We start from the raw sequence: 26,190 nt of genomic DNA on the forward strand, positions 1-26,190 counted from the left end.
TCTTTACTAGCCCCTTATATATTCTATATACATATTGCTCAAAATTTGAATAGCCTGTCCTATAATTCACAATCTATTGTCAAACTATTTCAACACTAGAGCTTCCAGGCAGCTGAATGTATGGAGTTTCCTGGAGGGTGGCACATCTGGAACGGAACATGGAAACTCCACATCCCTTCCCTCATGTACTTCTTCATCTGTATGCATTATAATATTCTTTCCTATAAACCAGTAAATACATCTATGGCAGTAATAGTAGTTCTGGCAGCAGCCACCAGAGCCTCAAGAGCACAGCCAAATGGGTGGCTTTCCTGGAGAATCTGCTGGAAGACCTAGAAGGCATGAAAAGATTAAGGAAATTTTTTAAAAAGATATTCAATGAAGAAAATATTTTGTTTTGGCTAGCATGTAAAGATTTCTTTTTTTAATGCAAGATAAGCAGATGCAAGAAAAGGCAAAGGAGGTCTACATGACCTTTCTTTCCAGTAAGGCCTCGCCACAAGTCAAAAAGAATATATTTTCACTCAACAAAAGATCTTTTCACTCAACAAAAAGATCCTGGAAGAACCACATCCTCTGATGTTCCAGGAACTCCAGGACTGGATTTTCAATCTCACGAAGTACAACAGCTACAGTAGCTGCTTAAAGTTTGACTAGGTTTGTTGTTGTTTATTTTTTAAGAGACAGGGCCTCACTCTGTCACTCCAGCAGGCATGCAGTGGCACAATCCTAGCTCACTGCAGCCTGGAACTTCTGGGCTCCAGCCGTCCTTCTGCCTGAGTCTCCTGAGTAGCTAGGACTACAGGTGTTCAACACCATGCTTGGCTAATTAAAAAAAAAAATTTTTTTTTTGTAGAGACAGGGTCTCACTATGTTGCACAGGCTGGTCTTAAACTCCTGGCCTCAAGTGCTCCTTCCACCCTGCTTTCTCAAAGGATTACAGGTGTGCGCCACTGTGCCAGCCCTGATTTGCTTTTAAAATACAAGCAAACTGCAAAAGAAGAGAAAGTTCAACCTGATGCTCAAACTACAGCTAGAAAAGCTTCTAGAATTTTTAACACGAGTTCCCAAAGACTGGCAGATTTATGAAGGAAAGAAAGTAGGCTACGTGTGGTGGCTCATGAATACAATCTCAGCGCTTTGGGAGGGAGAGACGGGGAAAATGCTTGAGCCCAGCAGTTTGAGACCAGCTTGGGTAACATAGTGAGACCCTGTCTCTACAAAAACAAACAAACAAAAAAAATAAATAAATATATATATATATATTAGCCAGGTGTAGGGGCATGCACCTGTACTCCCAGGTACTTCAGAGGATAAGGTAGGAGGATCTTTTGAGCCCAGGAGGCCAAGGCTGCAGTGAACTATAGTTGTACCACTGCACTCCAGCCTAAGTTACAGAGTGAGATTCTGTCTCAAAAATAAAACAAAAATTAGAAAAATCATAACAAAAAGAAGCAAATAAACTTTCAGGGTTTCTAATTGCCTTGTTATGTACAAAAACTGAATGGGATATGTGTATTCTCTTCAATGGGATACGTGTATTTTATTAACTGCTTGACCAGTAAGTTTTGCATAATGGCTAATCTTACATTAAAAAAATAGCTTTGAAGTTTCGGTTCACAAAACGAATCGATTTCTTCCACACTGGAAAAAATATTTCAACACTGATGCTGTAAAGCAGTTATGACGAATAGGCAGTTACCTATACAACATCAAGACATCATAGCTACTATATTGAGGTTGTAGGTCGAGTAGCCATTATCTGAACTGCTTGTGACCAGAACTGTTTCGGATTTACTGGTTGAGCATCCCAAATCTAAAAAGCCAGAATCTGAAATGCTCCAATGAACATTACCTTTGAGTGTCATGTTGCTACTTAAAATGTTTCAGATTTTGGAGCATTTCACATTTCAGATTGGGGATGCTCAACCTGCGTAAGGTCTTAACAGCTTGAGTTAAAAGTGCTTAAAAGTTTTAGCAGTGCTTCCTTTGCTGCTTTCTAATTATAAAACCCATAGTTCGGCTGGGCGTTGTGGCTCACGCCTGTAATCCCAGCACTTTGGGAGGCCAAGGCGGGAGGATCGCAATGTCAAGAGTTCGAGACCAGCCTGGCCGATATGGTGAAACCCTACTAAAAATACTAAAAAAATTAGCCAGGCGTGGTGGCGCGTGCCTGTAGTCCCAGCTACTCAACAGGCAGAGGCAGAAGAATCGCTTGAACCCGGGAGGCAGAGGTTGCAGTGAGCTGAGACTGCGCCACTGCACTACAGCCTGGGCGACAGAGTGAGACTCCACCTCAAAAAAAAAAAAAAAAAAAAAAAAGCCATAGTTCTCCATAATCCTTAAAGAATGTCATTTCACAGACAAGCTTTCCAGAGAAACTCTAAAAGTAACCCTTTATGCAAAAAGCCTTTCAAAAATTTTATGCCTTGTGACGAGAATGAAATAAGAAAAAAGAAAAGAAAATATTAATAAAATTTTAAATGATTTTATATGTATAATTTTTAAAAAATTTTAAAGTAATTTTAATATATAATGATCACCTGCACAGTTTAATATTTCAAGGTTATTGTTAATGAACATCGTTTATAGTAGAACATCAGAATACAACATATTATGATCTGAGATATGTTAAGGTTTTCTTCCTACATATTAGGTATCCTAAAATGGCTACGTATTTTGCACGCTTATTTGTACAGCTTTTATTGTACACCTCTTCCCTTGTTATCATCAGTGGACATACTTTTTCAGTGTACAACCAGGCAAAAACAAAACAAAACAAAACAAAACACAGTAGTCCCTAATTTATGAATTTTAAAACCAAATAACTAATGTTATTAAAATTGCATGCAAGATTATAAAGGGTCTTAATATGACTTTTTTTTCAGAGACAGGGTCTCGCTATGTTGCCCAAGCTGGAGTACACAGGTGCAATCCCACTACTGATTGGCATGGGAGTTTTGACCTGCTCTGTTTCTGACCTGGATCGTTCACCCCTCCTCCTGAGACAACCTGGTGGTCCCTCGCTCCCGAGAGGTCACCATATTGATGCCGAACTCAATGTGGACACCCAATCGACATAGTGCATGACAGCCCAGAACTCCTGCCGCAGCTTTCCAAATAGCTGGGACAACAGGCACCTACACTACACCCAGCGTAAGTCTTTTCTTAAAGTGAAGAAGACAAGTATGGATATCTGTTCATTTCTTAAGAGTACTCTGCTTAAAAATTGGTTTCTGTTTTTTCTGGACAATGAAATATTACTATCAGTAAGTAATGTTTCTACGTCTTTTCAATTTATGTCACTTAAAATAAGCTTAGCCATCCAACACCACTACAGATAGAAAACTGTGTTGTGAATCACTGTAATGGACTTTAAATTTGCTTAAATAATTTGTTTTGAATAAAGACAAATTTATGCAAATTTCTGTTTGAACAAGGTTTTAATTATTTTCTACTGATATTCACAAATGAGGGTTCTGTGATCACGTACATTTTTTTAAAAACTGGGTCAAACAAAGAACTGGCTTCTTCAACAGAACTTTCCATATACTAACTTGTACAGTCATTGTCCAAAGGCAAGATGACATAAAGAGGTTTCCAAAAATAGCTGAGCACAGTGATGCATGCCTGTAGTCCCAGCTACTCAGGGGGCTGAGGCAGGAGAATTGTTTGAGTCTAGAAGTTGGAGTCCAGCCTGGGCAACACAGCAAGAACTTGTCTCTAATAACATTAAACAAGGCCAGGCACAGTGGCTCAAGCCTGTAATTCCAGCACTTTGGGAGGTCAAGGAGCATGTAATGCCTGAGGTCAGGAGTTCAAGACTAGCCTGGGCAACATGGCGAAACCTCGTCTCTACTACAAATACAAAAATTAGCTAGGAGTGGTGGCATGCGCCTGTAATCCCAGCTACTCGGGAGGCTGAGGCACAAGAATAGCTTGAACTCGGGAGGCGGAGGTTGCAGTGAGCCTAGATCACGCGAATGCACTGCAGCCTGGGCTATAGAGTGAGACTCCATCTCAATAAAATAAAATAAACAAAAAACTCCCAACAACAACAAAAAAGAGGTTTCCAAAGATAATAGAACCCTTTGTAGAGCGTCTCAAGCCTTGTTTCAAGGACCATATTTTGGGAAACACTGCTGCAGAAATCTTCCAGATCTTGAGAACTTTACTAAGTCAAGAAGGATAATCCTTCTTAGTAGGAGAAGCAAGAATATAAAGGAGAATCAATCTGCATAACTACCAAGCGAAACACAAGACAACAAAAGCAAACTAAACTAAAAAAGCGCTTTATTGGTATATCATCCCTGGTCTCCTGAACATAATGGAAAAGGGTTCTATAGAAAAAAAAAAAAAAGTTTCTCCTTACCCTTAGACTTCTTTCATCTCCACAAAGGAAGGGACCTATGATAGCCAACTTTCAAGATAATTCCCAACAAACTCTAAAGGTCCTAGTATTCACACCCTTGTGTAGTTCCCTCCCTCAGAGCTGATCTGTGTGACCAATGGAATACAGCAGAAATGGTGTGTCACTCCCAAGATTAGATTATTTTAAAAACTATGGTTTCTGTGGCCGGGTGCGATGGCTCATGCCTGTAATCCCAGTACTTTGGGAGGCCGAGGTGGGTGAATCACCTGAGGTCAGGAATTCGGGACCAGCCTGACTAATATGGTGAAAACCTGTCTCTACTAAAAATACAAAAAATCAGCTGGGCGTGGTGGCATGCGTCTGTAATCTCGGCTACTCGGGAGGCTGAGACAGGAGAATTGCTTGTACCCGGGAGGCAGAGGTTGCAGTGAGTGAGATCAAGCTGCTGCACTCCAGCCTGGGCGAGAGAGCGAGACTTTGCCTCAAAAAACAACAAAACAAAACAAAACACTATGGTTTCTGTCTTGGTAATTCTCTCTCTCAAATCACTTGCTCTGGAGGAATCAAGCTATCATGTTGAGAACAGCCTAATTCAGAGGCCTTCATAGTGAGGAACTGAAACCTCCTACCAATAACCATGTGATGATTTGTAGGCAAATCCTTCAATTCAAATCAAGCTTTCAGATGACTACTATCTTAGCCAGTACCTTACCTGCAAACTCAAGAGGGACCCTAAGCCAGAATCAAACAACTATGCCTCTGATTCCTGACCCTCGGAACTGTGAAATAACATTTGTTGTTTTAAATCGCTAAGTTTAAGGGTTTGTTACGCACTGATAGATAATACAGGACCACTGCTCCATCCTCCCCTCCATCCCAGAAGGGACTGTCATCTACTTCCTCATCAATATCACTAAGTCACAATCTAAGACATTCACTGGACCATGCTTTTTTACTGAGGGGGTGGAATTATTACATTAAAAAAAGACAATTCATGCCAGCCCCCAGCCTTCTTAGCTACTAGGCAATAAACTGCCTTGCATATTCACATCCCCTGAAATAGTGAGAGAGAAGGGCCAGCATTTGGGGGGTTAAATGAGTACATACTACATTCACAAATAAAACATTTTTTAAAAAGATACAAACAGTGAAAGGTCAAGCAATGTGTAGTATCTGTTCTGCAGATTCACAAAAACAGAATTCACCCTTAGTTGCATTCTTCCCAGAACAACAGTTCATTAGACAGGGCAGGAAAAATCCTGAAGTCGTGATTCTAAAAAACTAGTTCTAAGTTTCCCAAATGTAGACATGGAAGAGCTGAAAGAAAATGATTTAAAGAGCTGCATGTAAAGATAAATGAAAATTCACATTTTGTTTGTAAATATGAAGAACTAGTATGACCTTTTAGAGGTCACACAATCCAGAAAGCTATAATCACATGAGGCTGCATTCACCTATAAATGAAGACAAAGTATTAACAAATTTGTTAAGAAACACTAGTATTTAGGACAGAACACTTGCTAAAGGTATGACACCACTGGCTTATAAAACCATCATGGCCATACTGGCCTGCTTTCCCAAGTGGTAGGGAAAATGGCAGCTACAGATTGAGATAACTACAAAATGGAAAATAACTGCAGAATGTTAAGTACTGTAAGTAAAGCAGCAGAAACACCCAGAAACCATGGGGGAAAAGGGAGAAGAGGACATGAGAAATTAGGTTCCAGTGGTTCATAGCCAAATATTACCCTTGTCTGTCCCAAAATTGGTGAGGTATGGGAAAATTAACCACAAATATACTACTCTCCTCTGAATCTAAGACACGCCATCAATTGTAAGATGCATCATCATTTTATGTGTCACTAGGAAAGAAAAACTGCTGCCAATTAAACAATGACACACCTTCAATAACACATATCCTGATTTGAAAGATGTTAAAATATGGAAAAAGTGCATTTAAAAAAATGAAGTGGGTCGGGTGCGGTGGCTCATGCCTGTAATCCCAGCACTCTGGGAGGCCGAGGCAGGTGCATCACCTGAGGTCAGGAGTTCGAGATCAGCCTGGCCAACATAGTGAAACCCTGTCTCTACTAAAAACATAAAAATTAGCCAGGCGTGGTGGTAAGTGTCTGTAATCCCAGCTACTCAGGAGGCTGAGGCAGGAGAAATGTTTGAACCCAGAAGGCGGAGGTTCCAGTGAGCCAAGATCGTGCCACTGCACTCAAGCTTGGGCAACAGAGTGAGACTCTTGTCTTAAAAAAAAAAAAATTATGAAGTGGTATTAAAGAGTTTAATTTTCCTAAGTCTACTGAAAAATAAAACTTCGAGTATGTTTCTGAGTTAACTTTTTAAAATTGATTTAAAAATATATACTTTGTAGAGACAGGTTTTAGCTGTGCTGCCTGGCCTGGTCTCAAGTGATCCTCCCACCCCAGCCTCCCAAAGTGCTAGGATTACAGGCGCAAGCCATTGCACCCCCAGCCCTGAGTAAATTTAATAACTGATTCTTATCTTGGTATTTAACACCTACCCCAAAACACATGACTTCAGCAAATCTTTAAATATGCACTTTATTCCCAGAATTTGCATAGGAGTGCACAGACATCTATCCTCCCCAGGGCGAAAAGGCCTAAAGTTATTTGCAAAAGAATCTCATTCCAGAAGAGGCTGTTTCCTTTTTTTTATTCTTCCATCCAAAAAAGCCAGTCAGGTCCAGAATGTAAATGTTTTGAAGCATCTCAAATCTGGAGAAAACCTGAAAACTCTAGCCCTTACCTTGTGTTGGTTCAAGTCTGCAAAGCACCCAAGAATCTGAGCTCTTCTAAGATACCCAAGGTTTACAAATTCAGTAAGAAGGATTCTGATACATCTAAATACCAATAATGGTATGTAAATGATTACATACTTTCAGAACTGGCTCGGCTTTTCAGTGATTTTATAGTCCAGCTAGCAGCCAGCTCCCTTTCTCTCCTTCCTCATCATAAAAATAAATGATATGAAACCACACTAATTTATTCCTTTTTTTCCCCCCGGTAAGAAAACCATTGACAAATTCCATAATTAACTATTGTCAATGTATTGGGACATACCACAAAACGGAATGCCAGATCTGTATGTCATAATACCTTGGTTGAAAATCTCTACTCTAGATCACTACAACAGCCTGCGATATGCGACCCTAAACTTAAGAGTGACACCAGCCCAGGCACAGTGGCTTACACCTGTAATCCCAGCACTTTAGGAGGCCAAGGCAGGAGAATTACTTAAGCCCAGGAATTCGAGACCAGCCTGCACAACAAAGTGAGACCACGTCTCTAGGGAAAGAAAAAGAGATGACACGGGTTCAGTTCCTAAAACTTTTTTCTGCTTGAATGCATGTGAAGGATTATTCCTGAAATTTACTCTCCCCTATGACTGGGAGTTACTACAGGGGTTGAGGTGTAAATTTAAGTTAACATCAAAAGGATGCTCAAGAGATTAATATACCCACTTCTCCCTATTTTGCACTGTCACCTCTCCAAGAATCACTGTAAAGGTTGCTTCACATCAAAGGTCAATCAGATGTTTGCACAGGACTGTAACCTTTGTAACATCACTTCAGCCTCTGATTGACTGCTTTCTGCAACTAATCAGACTGATTGTGGGCCACCACTTCATTTACATGAAGTGAACACCAAGTGGCCAATGGGAAACCTCTAGGGGGTATTTGGACCCAAGAAGATTCTGTATCTGGGGCCCTTGAGCGGCTGCTCTGGCCACTCCAACCCTGTGGAGTGTACTTTCATTTTCAATAAAGCTCTGCTTTTGTTGTTTCATTCTTTCCTTGCTTTGTGCATTTTGTCCAATTCTTTCTTCAAAATGCCAAGAACCTGGACACCCTCCACCGGTAACAAATGCCCATATTTACATATTAGTTTAAGTTTGCTATTTCAGAGAGCTGCGATGATAGGTACATCAGTACTGAAAAAGCACTACTACTTGGTTCTTCAGTAGGGAACATTACTGTTTAGAATGAATACTACTACATCAAATGAAATGATCCTGGTTATTTTGAATCATGGAAGACATTTTTTTAAAATGCTCCTAGTTAAAAAAAAAAAAAAAAAAAAGTATTTTGGCACATTGGCTCACACCTGTAATCCCAGCACTTTGAGATGCCAAGGTGGGTGAATCATTTGAGGTCAGGAGTTTGAGACCAACCTGACCAACATGGTGAAACCCCATCTCTACTAAACAAAATTACAAAAAATCAGCCGGGCATGGTGGCACATGCCTGTAATTTCTGCTACTCGGGAGGCTGAGGCAGGAGAATCTCTTGAACCCAGGAGGCAGAGTTTGCAGTGAGCCGAGATCACGCCACTGCACTCCAGCCTGGGCGACAGCACAAGACTCCATCTCAAAAAAAAACACAAAAAACCCACAAGTATTCAAAATAGCATCCTAAAAAGCTCATTCATTTCTTTTTTGGTTTTTTTTTTTTTTTTTTTTGAAACAGAATCTTGCTCTGCCACCCAGGCTGGATGGAGTACAGTGGTGCAATCTCTGCTCACTCAGCCTCTACTTCCCGGGCTCAAGCGATTCTCATGCCTCAGCCTCCCGAGTAGGTGGGACTCCAGGCATGCATCACCACACCTGGCTAAATTTTGTATTTTAAACATGGTGAGATGGGGTTTCACCATGTTGGCCAAGCTGGTCTCGAACTCCTGGCCTCCAGTGATCCACCTGCCTTGGCCTCCCAAAGCACTGGGATTACAGGTGTTGAGCCACCGTGCCTGGCCAAAAGCTCATTCATTTTTCTTTTCTTTTTTTTCCCCCCAAGAAGGAGTCTTGCTCTGTCGCCCAGGCTGGAGTGCAGTGGTGCGATCTCGGCTCACTGCAAACTCTGCCTCCAAGGTTCACACCATTCTCCTGCCTCAGCCTCCTGAGTAGCTGGGACTACAGGTGCCTGCCACTACACCTGGCTAATTTTTTGTATTTTTAGTAGAGACAGGGTTTCACCATGTTAGCCGGGATGGTCTCTATCTCCTGACCTCGTGATCCGCCTGCCTTGGCCTCCCAAAGGGCTGGGATTACAAGCATGAGACACCACATCCAGCCAAAGCTCATTCATTTCTAAATTAGTCTGGCTTCTAAGCTAATTCATTTCTGAAAGTATTATCCCACATTAACACATTTTGAAAATTAAAGCACAAAAAATTCAAATGATACTCTTGTGGTTATGAATCAAAACTGGAAGAACAGAATATATCCTTCTGAGATGCTAATAATGGCAAAATATCAACCAAGAAATTGATAAAATTCCTTACTTTGTAAAAAACTTACTTTCCAGTGAGGGAAGAGATAGTCAATAAATAAAAACAAAGCAAGTAAGTATCCAGTTGTTCTTCTGTATCCTCAGGAGCTTGATTCCAGCCCTGCCCCTTTTGCATACCAAAATCCACATATCCCAGGGGCTGAACCCGCATACAGGTAAGTCAACTCTCCGATACTCAGGTATAAAATGCTGGCAATTGGAGGAAAAAAATCTACATAGAAATGGACACACAGAGTTCAAACTCGTGTTGTTTCAAGGCTCTACTGTACTATATGATATATTAAAATATGAAGAAAAATAAAGCAAATTAAGGGGATGGGGGAGGTATAGAGGTCTCACATTTTGTAAAGTTTTATCTCAACTTGACATTTTGAGAAACTATCCTAAAGGGTAGAAATCCTCATTCAGGGAAGTTAAAAGTACAAACAAGAGAAGAAAAAACATTAAAAAATGTGGGAATATATAATGGTTGCTAATACAACTGTATATAAAATGACCAAGAATGTTTTCTCCAATTTCATCTAACAACCAACTAAAGATGGAAAGTTAAAAATAGGAGGGTATGATGGAAAAAACAGAAACACCATTCACATTAATATTAATAGCACTGCACTAATAAGTAGATATTATTTTTCCCTAACAACATTAAGAAACAGAATTCTAACAGTGGCCACTTCTCCTTTCAGAGGGAAATGTGAGGCAATGTATTAAATTTACTATTTTTTTTTTAAAACAGAACTAAACTCAGGCTGAGTAAGGAAGCATTTTCCCTCCTACTGAATTCTGATGACATTTCTAACAGTTACTTATTAAAACTGTTTTCCCTTTCAGGAAAGAGAATGCAATGTAGGTATTCATTCTTAGTTTAAGCTAAACTTTTTAAAATTCTGACAAATGAAAAAGTGTCAAGACTTAATGATTTCTGCTCTTAAGAGCCCACAGCCCACAAAAGGAGACAAATGTGCCAATAATTTCTCCATGCTTTCAGAGTACAGTAGTGTCCAAAAGAAGAGTGGTAAGAGGAGAAAAACCAGGACTGTGGTATGCACAAAGCCAAGGAAGAATATGTTTCAAGGACTAACCAGACTTTCTTTTCCAGCACAATGGCAGAGTATATACCCCGGATAATTACAGAGAAAACAAAGACAAAGTGAACGCAGGAACTCTGAAATGTAAGGATTAGGACTGGATTTTGCCGTGGAGATTTCAAACAAATCCAATAGCAAAACCAAAGTGAAGATGCTAACAGAGGAGCTACCTGAAACTATGATCCCTCAGTGTAAAGGTGAACAAGAAAATGGGCAAAGAGACAACAATGAAATTTGCCTACTTTAAACTGAAAAAAATTCTCCCCTGAAATTTCATAACCTCAACCCACATGGATTCATAGCCTGAATTCCTGCTACCTGAGAACATTAAGCAAGGATTTAATAAAAAGTAGTCCAGGAAGTGGTGGCCTCAAAGCAACCAGCAGAAACGAACACAAATATAAATCCTGGAGAAATCCAAGTTCTGTCCTTTGAGGCAACAATTTCACTGCTCAGAATCGTAGAAAGATACATATAAAATAGCTTCACTGTAAACAAAATCTAGAAATATATATCCATCAATAGGTAAATTATACAAATTATAGCATAGCAAACTAAGACTATGCAACCGTTAAGAATGACGTGGGGCCGGGCACAGTGGCTCACACCTGTAATTCCAGCACTCTGGGAGGCCGAGGCGGGTGGATTACGAGGTCAGGAGATTGAGACCATCCTGGCTTAACATGGTGAAACCCTGTCTCGACTAAAAATACAAAAAATGAGCCGGGCGTGGTGGCGGGCGCCTGTAGTCCCAGCTATTCGGGAGGCTGAGGCAGGAGAATGGTGTGAACCCGGGAGGTGGAGCTTGCAGTGAGCCGAGATGGTGCCACTGCACTCCAGCCTGGGCGACAGAGGGAGACTCCGTCTCAAAAAAAAAAAAAAAAAAAAAAAAAAAAAAATGACGTGGACGTGAGTACTGACAAAAAAAATAATAAAGAACTCCAAAACCTACTGAAATAAAGAAAAAGCAAGCCTCAAAAATACATGTAATTTGTTAAAATAAAAGAGGTGTAATTACACAACATATAAATGCACACAAAGGACCAAAAACACATTCAATTATTTTGTACTTGGAAATGGCAGTGGAGAAAGAGGACATACTGTTTGCACTACATGCCTTTATATTATTTGGCTGTTTTACAAAAATGTAGAAGTGTATTTTTTGTATAATTAAAAAATAACTCAATGGATGATGAAAACACATTCACACAAAAACATATATACAAACATTCATAGCAGCATTATTCATAATGCCAAAAAACAACCCAAATGCCCACTAACTGAAGAATGAACAAAATGTGACAACCATGCAATGGAATTTTATTTCGCCTTCAAAAAGAATGAAGTACTGACTCATTTTACAACACAAATGAACCTTGAAAACATTATGATGTTTTTGAATGAAGCCAGTCACAAAAGACCACATATTGTATGATATCACTGATATGAAATGTCTATAACAGTCAAATCTGTAGAGATGGAAGGTAAGCTGGTGATTGCCAGGGGCTGGGGAAAGGAGAATGGAGAGTGACTACTTATGGACACAAAGGTTGCTTTTTGGGCATGATAAAGATGTTCTAAAGTCAGATTAAGGGTATGGTTGCACAACAGAGTAAATAAATTTAAATTATCGAGTGTAGAAATGGGACTATTTTATGACATGTAAATTACATCTAAATAAAAATTTTTTCACCGAGCACAATGGCTTGTGCCTGTAATCCAAACACTTTGGGAGGCCAAGGCAGGAAGATTACTTGCAGCCAGGTGTATAATACCAACCTGGGCCACACAGCGAGACCACATCTCTACAAAAAAATAAAAAATTTGCCCGGCATGGTGGTGGTATGCACCTGTAGTCCTAGCTACTCCGGAAACTGAGGGGGAAAGATTTCTTGAGCCCAGGAGTTCAGGTTATAGTGAGTTATGATCTAGCCACTGCACTCCAGCCTGAGTGACAGAGAGAGACCCTGTCTCTTTAAAAGAAAAAAGAAAACCTCAATGAGTAAAGAAACTAAACACAGGTGAAGAAAGAATTTCTACTTAGGAAGATGGCCTGAAGAAATTACCCAGGATATAACTCAGAGAAACAGATAATGAAAATATGAAAGGTAGAGACACCAAAAAAAAAAAAAAAAAAATTAGAGAACAGAAAGCAACATTTTCTATAAATGTTTCTTAAATAATAATGTGTGGTGGTGCACACCTGTGGTCCCATCTACTCGAGAGGCTGAGGCAAGGAAATTGCTTGAACCCGTGAGACGGAGGTTGCAGTGAGTCAAGACTGCGCAACTGCACTTCAGCCTGGCAACAGAGCAAGACTCCATCTCAAAAAAAATAATAGTAACAACAATAATAATGCCTGAGAATCTCCCAGAATTGTTAAAGACATCAGCCTTCAGGTCAATGAAGCCCAATTAATTCTAAGCAGCATAAACAAGAAATCCAAACTTAAACATCACTGTGAAAGCATAAAACACCAATTAAAAAGAGCTAATTCCCCTCCCCCTCCCCCTCTGCACGGACTCCCTCTGATGCCAAGCCAAGGCTGGACTGTACTGCCGCCATCTCAACTCACTGCAACCTCCCTGCCTGATTCTCCTGCCTCAGCCTGCCAGTGCCTGGGATTGCAGGCGCGCGCCGCCACACCTGACTGGTTTTCGTATCTTTTGGTGGAGACAGGGTTTCGCCGTGTTGGCTGGGCTGGTCTCCAGCTCCTGACCGTGAGTGATCTGCCAGCCTCGGCCTCCCGAGGTGCCGGGATTGCAGACAGAGTCTCACTCACTCAGTGCTCAATGTTGCCCTGGCTGGATTGCAGTGGCATGATCTCGGCTCACTACAACCTCTACCTCCCAGCCGTCTGCCTTGGCCTCCCAAAGTGCCGAGATTGCAGCCTCTGCCCGGCCGCCACCCCGTCTAGGAAGTGAGGAGCGTCTCTGCCTGGCCGCCCATCGTCTGGGATGTGAGGAGCCCCTCTGCCCGGCCGCCCAGTCTGGGAAGTCACAAGCGCCTCTTCCCGGCCGTCATCTCGTCTAGGAAGTGAGGAGCGTCTCTGCCCAGCCGCCCATCGTCTGGGATGTGGGGAGCACCTCTGCCCCGCCGCCCCATCTGAGATGTGAAGAGAGCCTCTGCCTGGCCGCGACCCCGTCTGGGAACTGAGGAGTGTCTCTGCACCGCCGCCACCCCGTCTGGGAGGTGCGGAGCGTCTCCGACGGGCCACCCCGTCTGAGAAGTGAGGAGCCCCTCCGCCCGGCAGCCGCCCGGTCTGGGAAGTGAGGAGCCCCTCCGCCTGGCAGCCGCCCCGTCTGGGAAGCGAGGAGCGTCTCCGCCCTGCAGCCGCCCCGTCCAGGAGGTGGGGGGCAGCCCCCGCCCGGCCAGCCACCCCATCCGGGAGGTGGCCAGCCCCCGCCCGGCCAGCTGCACCATCTGGGAGGTGGGGGGCAGCCCCCGCCTGGCCGCCGCCCCGTCTGGGAGGTGGTGGGCGCCTCTGCCCGGCCGCCCTGTCTGTGAAGTGAGGAGCCCCTCTGCCTGGCCACCACCCTGTCTGGGAGGTGTACCCAACAGCTCATTGAGAACGGGCCATGATGACGATGGCGGTTTTGTCGAACAGAAAAGGAGGAAATGTGGAGAAAAGAAAGATCAGATTGATACTGTGTCTGTGTAGAAAGTAGTAGACATAGGAGACTCCATTTTGTTCCGTACTAAGAGAAATTCTTCTGCCTTGGGATGCTGTTAATCTATAACCTTACCCCCAACCCCGTGCTCTCTGAAACATGTGCTGTGTCCACTAAGGGTTAAATGGATTAAGGGCAGTGCAAGATGTGCTTTGTTAAACAGATGCTTGAAGGCAGCATACTCGTTAAGAGTCATCACCACTCCCTAATCTCAAGTACCCAGGGACACAAACATTGCGGAAGGCGGCAGGGCCCTCTGCCTAGGAAAACCAGAGACCTTTGTTCACATGTTTATCTGCTGACCTTCCCTCCACTATTGTCCTATGACCCTGCCAAATCCCCCTCTCCGAGAAACACCCAAGAATGATCAATAAATACTAAAAAAATTTAAAAAAAAAAAGCTAATTCTAATGCCATACACAAAAGATAGATTAGCTACAAAGTTATAGAAATTAGAAGGCTACCATTTTAAGAACAATGATGTCAGCACTAGAAATCAGTAAAAATATATTTTATGTAAGTAAAACCACCAATTTAAACTCCTATACCAAGCAAAACTAAGTTTAAAAAAAAATGGATGAAATAAAGATATGTGCAGACAAAAGTTTTACTACCAACAGTAACCAACAAAAGATTAAACCCTGAATTCCTTCTGGAAAATGATCCCAAGGGACAGATCTGAGATGAAAGAATGGTGGGCAGATACTTAAAGTGTGTACATCTAAACAATGAATAAAACAATACAGGCCCACAGTTCCTTACGAAACAGCTCTTGGATGGGCACAGTGGCTCACACCTATAATCCCAGCACTTTGGGAGGCTGAGGCGGGTAGATCACCTGAGGTCAGGAGTTCGAGACCAGCAGGACCAACATGACCAACATGGTGAAACCTCACCTCTACTAAAAATACAAAATTAGCCAGGTGTTGTGACTGATGTCTGTAGTCCCAGCTACTCAGGAGGCTGAGGCAGGAGAATTGCTTGAACCTGGGAGGCAGAGGTCGCAGTGAGTCAATATTGCACCACTGCACTCCAGCCTAGGCAACAAGAGCGAAACTCCATCTCAAAAAGAAAAAGAAAAAGAAAAAACTCTTTGGGGCAGATGTTTCAGACTTAAAAATTTTTTAGATTTAAAAAAATTTTTTATAAAGCAGCACACCACCAAACACATTAGTAATCAGCACTAAAATATGTGAATACTTAAAATATACAGGATTTTTAGGAATACTGCAATCTAATGCCCCAAGGTCACAGGCTTTGCCACCAGGAAAGTTTGTGACCAACTTACAAAAAAAATTTTTGGTTTTTAGATCTTTTTTAAATTTTGGATGGGATAAGAATATGAGCACAAAATGTCTAATTTGTAAAATAAAACAAGACAGAACGAAATTACAAGGCATTCAACACATAAATTTGGAAGCAGGTGATGGGGAGTTAAAGCATTTTAAGGTCGTAGTGTTTAAGAAGAGTGCAAACATGCAGATAAACTTTAGATTATAATAAGTATGTTAAATTAGCTACCATAATGGCTACAAATCATTAACATAAAAAACTAACTGGGCCAGGTGCAGTGGCTCAAGCCTGTAATCCCAGAACTTTGGGAGGCCGAGGCGGGTGGATCACGAAGTCTCAGGAGATTGAGACCATACCGGCTAACAAAACCCCATTTCTACTAAAAATACAAAAAATTAGCTGGGCGTGGTGGCACGCACCTGTAATCCCAGCTACTTGGGAGGCTGAGGCAGGAGAATTGCTCGAACCAGGGAAGCAGAGGTTGCAGTGAGCCAAGATTGCGCCACCGCATTCCAGCCTGGGCGACAGAGTGAGACTCTGTCTCAAAAAACAACTAACCAAACAGAAAAATAAGCAAAAGTCTAGAATTCGTAATTCACAAAAACACCATAATGGCTAATAAAAACAGGAAAAGAAACGCAACCTCACTGGTTATCAGATAAATGCAAATTAAAGCCACACTACAATAAGTAATGGTTAACACTCAACAAACTGGTAAGACCAGCTTGGTAGGTATGTACGGGAACTGAAGTTCTCATACATGGCTGGTAGAAGTATAAACTGGTAAACAATTTTATAAAACTACTTGCTTTTTTTTGTAAACTTGGATATAGAAATATGCTCTCACCCACCAATTCCATTCCAAGGTATACCCAGCATATACGTTCAACAAAACACAGGTACAAGGAGGATGTTTGTAGCAGCATTATATGTGACCAGGCCCAAACAAGAAAAAACTCAAATGTCCATCATCAACGGTAAAACGGGTATATTGCGGCCGGGTGCTGTGGCTCACACCTGTAATCCCAGCACTTTGGGAGGCCAAGGCAGGTGGATCACCCGAGGTCAGGAGTTCAAGACCAGCCTGGCCAACGTGGTGAAATCCCATCTCTACTAAAAATACAAAAATTAGCCGGGCATGGTGGCAGGCACCTGTAATCCCAGCTACTCGGGAGGCTGAGGCAGGAGAATTGCTTGAACCCAGGAGGTAGAGGTTGCCATGAGCCAAGATTGTGCCATTGAACTCCAGCCTAGGCAACAAGAGTGAAACTCTGTCTCAAAAAAAAAATAAAAACAGCCGGGCACCATGGCTCATGCCTGTAATCCCAGCACTTTGGGAGGCTGAGGCGGGTGGATCACCTGAGGTCGGGAGTTTGAGACCAGCCTGACCAATACAGAGAAACCCCATCTCTACTAAAAATACACAATTAGCTGGGTGTCGTGGCGCATGCCTGTAATCCCAGATACTCGGGAGGCTGAGGCAAGAGAATCGCTTGAACCCGGGAGGCCAAGGTTGCAGTGAGCCAAGATCGTGCCATTGCGCTCCAGCCTGGGAAAAACTGTGTCTCAAAATAAATAAGTAAATAAATAAATAAATAAATAATTGGTAAATTGTATATTCATACATGGCAATAAAAGTGAATTACAACACAGATCATAGATCTCACAAATTAATGTGAGCAAATGAAGTCAGACAGAAAAATAAATATACAGTATAATTTCATTTATGTAAAGCTCACAAACAGGCAAAAGCAATCTATAGTATTAGAATCAGAATGTAAGCTGGGCATGGTGGCTCATGCCTGTAATCCCAGAACTCTGGGTGGCTGAGGTGGGAGGATCGCTTTCCAGGAGTTTGAAACTAGCCTGGGCAACACAGGGAGACCATGTTTCTACAAATAATAAAAAAAATTAGCCAGGTATGCTGGTGTGTGCCTGTGGTCTCAATTACTCAGCAGACAGGAGACTAAGGTGGGAGGAACACCTGAGCCTAGGAATTGGAGGCTGCCGTGAGCCGTGATCTCACCACTGCACACCAACAGGGGTGACAGAGTGAGATCCTATCTCAAAAGAAAAACAAAAAAGAAATCAGGATGTGATTACCTTTAGGAGAGGGAGGAAGTAGTGCTTAGGAACGGACATAAGGGAGGCTTCCAAGGTGGAGCTACCATTTTATTTTTTCATGTATGGTGATTACAAAGGTGTATTCACTTTGTGAATATATGAACTTTACATGTAGATTTGTGCATTTTCCTGTTTGTTGTATTTCAGTAAAAACATGTATCAAACTGATCTAAAATTGACTGGTGATAGTTGCATAACTCCACGAATATATTAAAAGTCATTTTAAATGGATGAGTATATTATGTGAGTTGGTTCACAATAAAGCTGTCAACAAAAGCAAAAAAAAGTTTATTAAACAAAAAAAGAAAAAGCAAATATGGAAAATGTTAATTGTTGAATCTACACAAAAGCTACAGAGGTGTTAACACTGTTTCTTTCTACTTTTCTGCATGCTTGAGATTTTTCGTAAAAGTTTTCAATAAAAAATAACAGTAAAATAAGTGCAAAAAAACAGCTACAGTAACATCTAAAAAATATTGTAGGCCAGGAGCGGTGGCTCACTCATGTAATCCCAGCACTGTGGGAGGCCAACGCAGGTGGATCACCTGAGGTCAGGAGTTCAAGACCAGCCTGGCCAACGTTGTAAAACCCCGTCTCTACTAAAAATACAAAAATCAGCTGGGCATGGTGGCGGGTGCCTGTAATCCCAGCTACTTTGGAGGCTGAGACAGGATAATAGCTTGAACAGCGGAGGTGGAGATTGTAGTGAGCCAAGATCGCGCCACTGCACTCCAGCCTGGGCAACAAGAGTGAAACTCCATCTCAAAAAAAAAAAAAAAAAAAAAAAAAAAAATTGTGTGTAACTTCCAAACTAGTAGAGGTATGAAAAATAGAATAAGAAAACTGAAAAAGAACTCAATCCAAAATAAGGAAAGACACAGACATAGGAAGAAAAGACAAATGAAAAGTACTTAAAAGGAAAGAAATAAATCCTATTATATTACTCATTAAAAATTTGACTAACTTCTTTAGTAAACAGTAAAGAATATTAGATTGGTTAAAAAGTATAGTTATTTGAGTTTTTTTAAAAGATATTACTAAAATGTTAAGAGTACAGAATGGTTCAGAGTCAAAGGATAGAAAAAAGATACTAGGATAAGTTTTAAGAAACAAAGCTGGCATTGCTATGTTAATATCAAGTGAAACAAATGTTAAGGCCAAAAATAATAAAAGATAGAATAACTATATAATGATATAGTCACCATGAGCATAAAACCTGTATACACTTAGTAACAACCTCAAAATAGATAAGCAAAGGACAATCTACAAGTCTATCTTCATAGAAGATTTTAGTAACACCTCTCAAAGTAATGAACAGCTCAAGCAGACCAAAAAGCAAACAAAAGGATAACCGAATTGAGAAAGTCAAAAGTTAAGAATAGACATTTAATAGAAGAGCCACAAATGCCCCAAAACACATACAATTATACTCAATTATTCTTATTAGCTAAGGAAATATAATAGAACCATAAGGAGTATCTTTCACCAAAATAAGTCCAGTGTTGGGGAGAATGTGGTATACCTGGAACTCATGTACTATCAGTAAGAGCATAAACTGATGTAATCACTTTGGAACAGGATGGCATTATCTAGTAAAACGGAACAGACATGCCATAACCTAGCACTTGCATTTGTAGGTCAATACCCTAAGAGAAAACCATGAAAATGTGTTACAACATTTAAACCAGCACTGTTCATAACATGTTAGGAGTAAAACTGATCAAATGTGATAGTTTATACCATGAAATACCACTTACTTAGCTTTAAAAATATACTGCTACAAAGATGGATTAATCTTGAAATGATAAAAGTCAGAAAGAATTACTAACAGTATGAGTCCATTTACCTAAAGTTTAAAAACAAACAAAATATATTGTTTAAAGTAAATATAAGGAAAAATAAAGGATTACAAACATAAAATCCAAGACAGCAATTTACTGTGGGAAGGAAATAGTGAGGTACAATCAGCAGGACATTAAAAAAAAAAAAAAAAAAAAAAAAACAGGACACAGAAGGGGCTTCAAAGGTAATGGCAACTTTTATTCCTTAAGCAATGTGAATATTTTATAAATATTCTTTAAAATATTCACCTATGATTTCTATTTTTATATTTTTATTTAACTTTTTTTGAGACAGGGTCTCACTCTGTTGCCCAGGCTGGAGTACAGTGGCGCAATCTCGGCTTAATGCAACCTCTGCTTCCTGGGCTCAGGTAATCTTCCCACCTCAGCCTCCCAAGTAGCTGGAAACACAGGCATGCACCACCACACCCTGCTAATTTTTGTAGAGATAGGATTGCGCCATGTTGCCCAGGCTGGTCTTGAACTCCTGGGCTCAAGTGATCCTTCCACCTCAGCCTCCCAAAGTGCTGAAATTTTAGGTGTAAGACACCATGCCCAGCGTCACCTATGATTTTTAAATTCTTCTGTATGCATGTTTCATTATCTTTTTTTTTTTTTGACACTCTTAAATTTGATTGTGAAGGGAAAGAAAGCAACAGGGTGGTAGCAGAACTGAGGCAGAGGCAGGTGTTTGTTAGGAGAAACTTCTGCATATGTAAATATTGAAGAGACGGGTAAAGGCTAGAGAAAGGTGGTGATAAATGAAATTGTAAAATATCTGAGAAAGAAGAGATCAGCTAGATGCGGAGTACAGAATTAGAGACTTTACAAGGGATTGTGTTTTCAATGGGTGTTACTACTCTACACAGGAAAAAATATACATTTTTAAAAATTAAAATCACCCCTTAATCTCACCATGCAGTGATCTCCTTGGGACAGTGATTTTTCTTTCCATGAATCTGTATTTTCTAATATTTGGCAATAAACATATGTAAAGTATTTTTAAATAAAAATATGATCATGCTGACAACAATGTGGCATATGTACTGGAGAAGTTAAGACTGAAGGCAGGAAAGACAGGCTGAAAACTACTAGAAAAAAATTACATTTGAGACATTACTAATGAACAACTGGAGGAATCAAAGGACTTACTTAGGATGCAGAATGAACTAGATTTGGTGACAAGTGGATGTGCAAAGTGAGAAAGAGAAGAAATGAGGCTGACCCCAGAGTATTAGTCTGGATCAATGACAGGAAGAAGCTAGGCATGGTGGCTTCTTGGCCTATAATCCCAAGTACTTGAGAGGCTGAGGCAGGAGTTCAAGACAAGTCTGGGCAACACAGTAAGACCCAGTCTCTCTTTTTTTTTTTTTTAAAAAAAAAAAAAAAGGAAAGAGAAGGTGGAGGAAGGGAAGACAAAAATGAAGGGGGAAGGAAAAAGGAGGGATGGGGAGAAAGAAGAAAGGAGAGGGAGGGGAGAGGAAAGAGGAGCAATACAGATAGCTGGTCTGTTTATGAAGGGTTGGAGGCAACTGAGATTAAGATTAGTTTTGGACCTGACCAGTTCAAGTTCCCTGTGAACATTGAGATTGACAGAACAAAACAACGGAACCAGCCAGAAATGAACAATGACTATTCCCTTTAAATAGAGCTGCCCTCTTTAGGGTGGGTATGCTGTCTACCATGAATCCAATGTATGTACATGTACCTTAAACCTGCTTGGCTCCAAGAGGCAAAGAGTTTACTACCCTAGAATCAAATTTTAATTTCTCAAGCTAGTTCAGAAGTTATCTGTCTAGTATTCAGGAAATGAACACTCCAAATGAAATATTTGTTTTCTGAAAACCTTGACTCAGAATGAAATAAAATACAGTTCTGTATCTTTCTCTCATTGATCCCTGCATTTCATGCCATAGATGAAAAGCAGTAATTAGCACTAAGCCTGACAGAGTTAATGTTTCATTTAAGCCAACCATTTTTATTTTACTTTGGAAGAATAAATTTTTTTTCTTGTAAAAATACAATTCAAATTTTTTTACCTTCCAGGTTTCAGCAGGCTTAGCTACCTTCAAAGATTCTGATATATATAAATTAAGAGTTACATAAATGTCATAAAGCATGTGGTGAAAAATCTACAGCCAGGGTCTAGCACAAAGTATTAGATACGCTGAATAAAATGACTGATAACGCCACCTTCAAAAGGTGGGAAGTTTGACTTGACCAACAAATTGAACTACAAATCTCACGAAAGAACTATGTAAACTATGTATTAGTATACTAGGGTATGTCATGTCATGTATTTCTTCAAAATGTAAGCAAAATGCAAACTTTAAGACTGTAAGTTAGGTGCTGTAAGGGATATTCTATGGTCTGAACATTTATGTCCCTCCAAAATTCATATGCTGAAATCTAATTCCCAAAGTATTGGAATTAAGAGGTGGAGCCTTTGCGAGGTAACTAGATCATAAGGGTGGAAAACTGGTGAATGGGATTAGTGCCTATAAGAAGGCAGAGAGCTAATTTGCCTTGCTGCCATGTGAAGATACAGTCAGAAGGTGCCATTCTGGACTACTGAATCTGCTGGCACCCTGGATCTTGGACTTCCCAGCCTCCAGAACTGTAAGGATTAAATTTCTGTTGTTTATAATTACTCAGTCTAAGGTACTGAGGTATAGCAGCCTGAAAAGAAAGATAAAATAGTTGGTTAGATGGATTATTTATTTGGCAAAGTCTTAGTTGCCCAGGATGGAATACAGTGGTACAATCATAGCTCCCTGCAATGCTCCCGCCTCAGCCTCCCGAGCAACTGGGCTACAGGTGCGTGCCACCATGCCCAGCTAGTTTATTTTTTATAGAGACAGGGTCTTGCTATATTGCCCAGGTTTGGAATTTAACTCCTGGCCTTAAGCGATCCTCCTGCCTCAGCCTCAAAATGCACTGGGATTAGAGATGTGAACCATTGCGCCTGACCCAGCAAAATATATTTAATTGGAAACTCAATCTCTGATTTGTAGGAGTGTATAATACATGCAACTTTGGATAAGTAACAATGTGTACCTTAGTATCTTCATAATTAAATACCTCAGATTGTTATTGAAAGAACACAATGAGATGGGCTGGCAGATACAACTATTTTCAAGCTTAAAGTTCCAAATAAACATATTAAAGTAGTATTAATATTCACAGATGACAATAAGGAAAAAAATAAAATGGGAAATAAAAAGAAAAGATGATCCTAAAACAGTTTACCCTAACCAACTTTCTTGTAAAGTAAATAAAGCCAGCATGGTGGGTCATGCCTGTAATCCCAGCATTTTGGGAGGCCAAGGTGAGAAGATCGCTTGAGTCTAGGAGTTCAAGGCCATCCAGGGCAACATAGTAAGACCCCCATCTTTACAAAAAATAAAAAATTAGCTGGGCGTGGTGGTGCACGCTTGTAGTCCCAGCTACTCAGGAGGCTGAGGAGGGAGGATCACTTGAGCCTGAGAGGTCAAAGCTGTAGTGAACCCTGATTGTGCCACTGCACTCCAGCATGGGTGACAGCATGAAACTCCGTCTCAAAAAAGAAAGAAAGAAAGAAAGAAAAATATTGATTCTATGACTTAGTAACACCATTCTTAAAAATTTATACTAAAGAATACCATAAAATTAGGGGAGGCAATACAAATGCCTAGGAGTAAAAAATAAATAAATAAATAAATAAAGTGGAAACAACAGTAGATCATGGCATATTGTTAGAATAAATATTGATGCTCAACTCTTTACCAATCAAAAGGCAGCTTCCAGAGCTTTTAAGTTCTATGACTTAAAAAGAAATCTAGGTTAGATCTTTCCTTCTAGTAGATTTAGTCTCAAAGGAATAAACATCTGGTGATTTGTATTATAATGAGCATTACTGTTAGAACATTCTTCTAATAAATCTATTTTTTAGAAAAGATGTACTGCATTGTCATTGCCATTTTTATTGCTGAGGTCAATATTTTCCAGTGAACATAAAATCTAGTTTTCTAATAAACTCATCTCAGATGGATAAAATTGGTACCATAGATTCTCTGAGAACATTTTTCTTCTGTCAAGTAAGTAGTGTTCTCTGAAAAGTATGAATTACAAATACAGTTAACCCTTGAATAATTTGAGAGTTGGGGAACCAAGCCCCAAGCAGTCGAAAACCCACATGTAACTTCCGACTCCCCCAAAACTTAGCTACTAATAAACCTGTTGACCAGAAGCCTTCTGTTATTTGTCAGTTACATAAAGTCAATTAACATGTTTTGTATATTATATACTGCATTCTTACAATAAAGTGAGCTAGAGAAAATAAAATGTTAAGAAAATCGTAAGGAAGAGAAAATACATTTACAGCACTGTGCTGTATTTATCAATACGGTAAATTTATGTCATCTGTTTATAAGATGGAATCATCTATCTGAAATGGTGGGCAACCACAACTGTAAATCTACAGTATGTATGAAGCAGTTCAACTTTTTCTGGCAATGTCATGACTTTCCTCTGCTTCTTTGGAGTACTTCCAGCATCACTGGTGGCATTTTGTATGGATTCCATAGTGTTTGATTCAAAGTTTGCAGTATTGCACTAAAACACAATGAAAAATACACCAGAATAGTGAGAGAGCACTTTTTACTGTGATATGCAATTTAAATGCGAGACAAACTGCTCATGCAGAGGGTCATACAGCATGTTAAGTGGATATTCCCAACACTTGAGCTCACAGCAATAGCAACAGAAGGTGATTATGAAATTTGATGCAGTTATGATTTGATACTTCATCTTTATATTCTACTTTCTTTTTTTTTTTTTTTTTTTTTTTTTGAGACAAGGTCTCACTCTGTCACCCATGCTGGAGTGCAGTGGTGCTATCTTGGCTCACTGCAACCTCCGCCTCACGGGTTCAAGCAATTGTCCTGCCTCAGCCTCCCAAGTAGCTGGGCTTACAGATGCACGCCACCACACCCAGCTAATTTTTTTTGTATTTTTTGGTAGACATGGAGTTTCACCATGTTGACCAGGCTGGTCTCAAACTCCTGACCTCAAGTAATCTGCCCACCTCGGCCTCCCAAAGTGCTAGGATTACAGGCGTGAGCCACAGCACCCAGCCCTGTTTACATTTCTTGACTGTGAACAGTGCTGTATATGGTCTGTAAGTGTGTAGGTATGAAAGTTTTGTTACCTTCTGGACCCAATTTTTTGTTAATAAAAAAATCATTTAATTATTAATTAAATCATTACTTATTAAATGATTCTTAAAGTTCCTTTTAGTTTAAAAATCCCAGAACCTAGGTTATTCTACTCATTTTCACAAGTTAAAGCTTTATTGAGAGTCTTTTTACATATTGTTCAGCCTAATTCAATCATGTATCTGTAATTACTTTTCTATAGTTTTATACATAGTTTATATTCTCATTATGTTTTAGTACTTTTCTATATTACCTTCGTCTAATGCTATTGTTATTTCCATATATCCATATCCTTAAACAACTATAATGGTTTAAAATGTTCCAAAAAAACTAAGTAATAAATTTGGTTTTAGTACAAACTGTTTCAGTCAACCAAATAAACAAATTACCATTTTGATAACAAATAGATTAAAACTCATGTCATCATTACCTTGTATCTTGTCCTAAGTAAATAGATTACCATTTTCAATTTAACATTGTAGGAAACGCTACTCAGTGTAAACAACTCCCCCCTCCCCACTTTCTACCTTTAAACACCCACTTAAACATAGACAAATTATATACACTTATGAATTTTTTTTTTTTTTTTTTTTTTTTGAGATGGGAGCCTTGCTCTGTCACCCAGGCTGGAGTGCAGTAGCACGATCTTGGCTCACTGCAACCTCCACCTCTCAGGTTCAAGCAATTCTCCTGCCTCAGCCTCCCCAGTAGCTGGGATTACAGGCATGAGCCACCAGGCCTGACTAATTTTTGTATTTTTTGTAGAGACAGGGTCTCGCTGGTCTGGCTCGAACTCCTGACCTCAAGTGATCTGCCCGCCCTGGCCTCCCAAAATGCTGAGATTACAGGCATGAGCCACTGTGTCTGGCCACACTTATGCATTTCTAAGCACTCTTTACACAGAAGATTTCCATCAGCAGGAATAAATTTTTTTTTTTTGAGACAGGGTGTTGCTCTATTGTCCAGACTGGAGTGCAGTGGTGTGATCTCGGCTCACTGCAGCCTCCGCCTCCTGGGTTCAAGCCATTCTTGTGCCTCAGCCTCCCAAGTAGCTGGGACTATTGGCATGTGCCACCACACCTGGCTAATTTTTTGTATTTTTAGTAGAAAGGGGGTTTTGCTATGTTGGCCAGACTGGTCTCAAACTCCTGGTCTCAAGTGATCCGCCCACCTTGGCCTCCCAAAGTGCTGAGATTATAGACGTGAGCCACCATGCCCAGCCTAAAATCTTAAAATGAACCGCTAACTTTATGGTTCCAGGGTAGTTACTTTGTCAAGCCCAAATACACACA

At 40.4% G+C, this 26,190-nt stretch overlaps 1 protein-coding gene and 1 pseudogene across 6 annotated transcripts in view, besides 2 other annotated features; both read right to left on the reverse strand.

Annotated features, from left to right (window-relative positions):
* Nucleotides 1-26,190, reverse strand: part of UBE2W (ubiquitin conjugating enzyme E2 W) — a 98,767-nt gene that overhangs the window by 50,791 nt on the left and 21,786 nt on the right. The window lies entirely within an intron of this gene.
* Nucleotides 596-808: a silencer, noted in NCBI's record as "fragment chr8:74743717-74743929 (GRCh37/hg19 assembly coordinates)". NCBI's record gives its function as "represses an EF-1alpha promoter that drives an FKBP-Casp9 reporter gene in an ReSE screen in HepG2 liver carcinoma cells {active_cell/tissue: HepG2}" and the evidence as "EXISTENCE:reporter gene assay evidence [ECO:0000049][PMID:32094911]".
* On the reverse strand, nt 2,887-3,156 carry RN7SL760P (RNA, 7SL, cytoplasmic 760, pseudogene; annotated as a pseudogene).
* Nucleotides 12,966-13,693: an enhancer, noted in NCBI's record as "H3K27ac hESC enhancer chr8:74756087-74756814 (GRCh37/hg19 assembly coordinates)". NCBI's record gives its function as "activates a minimal SCP1, AML or CMV promoter by ChIP-STARR-seq in naive H9 embryonic stem cells {active_cell/tissue: H9 hESC(naive)}" and the evidence as "EXISTENCE:reporter gene assay evidence [ECO:0000049][PMID:30033119]".

Source organism: Homo sapiens, chromosome 8 (genome assembly GCF_000001405.40).
Source record: "Homo sapiens chromosome 8, GRCh38.p14 Primary Assembly".
Lineage (NCBI taxonomy): Eukaryota > Metazoa > Chordata > Mammalia > Primates > Hominidae > Homo > Homo sapiens.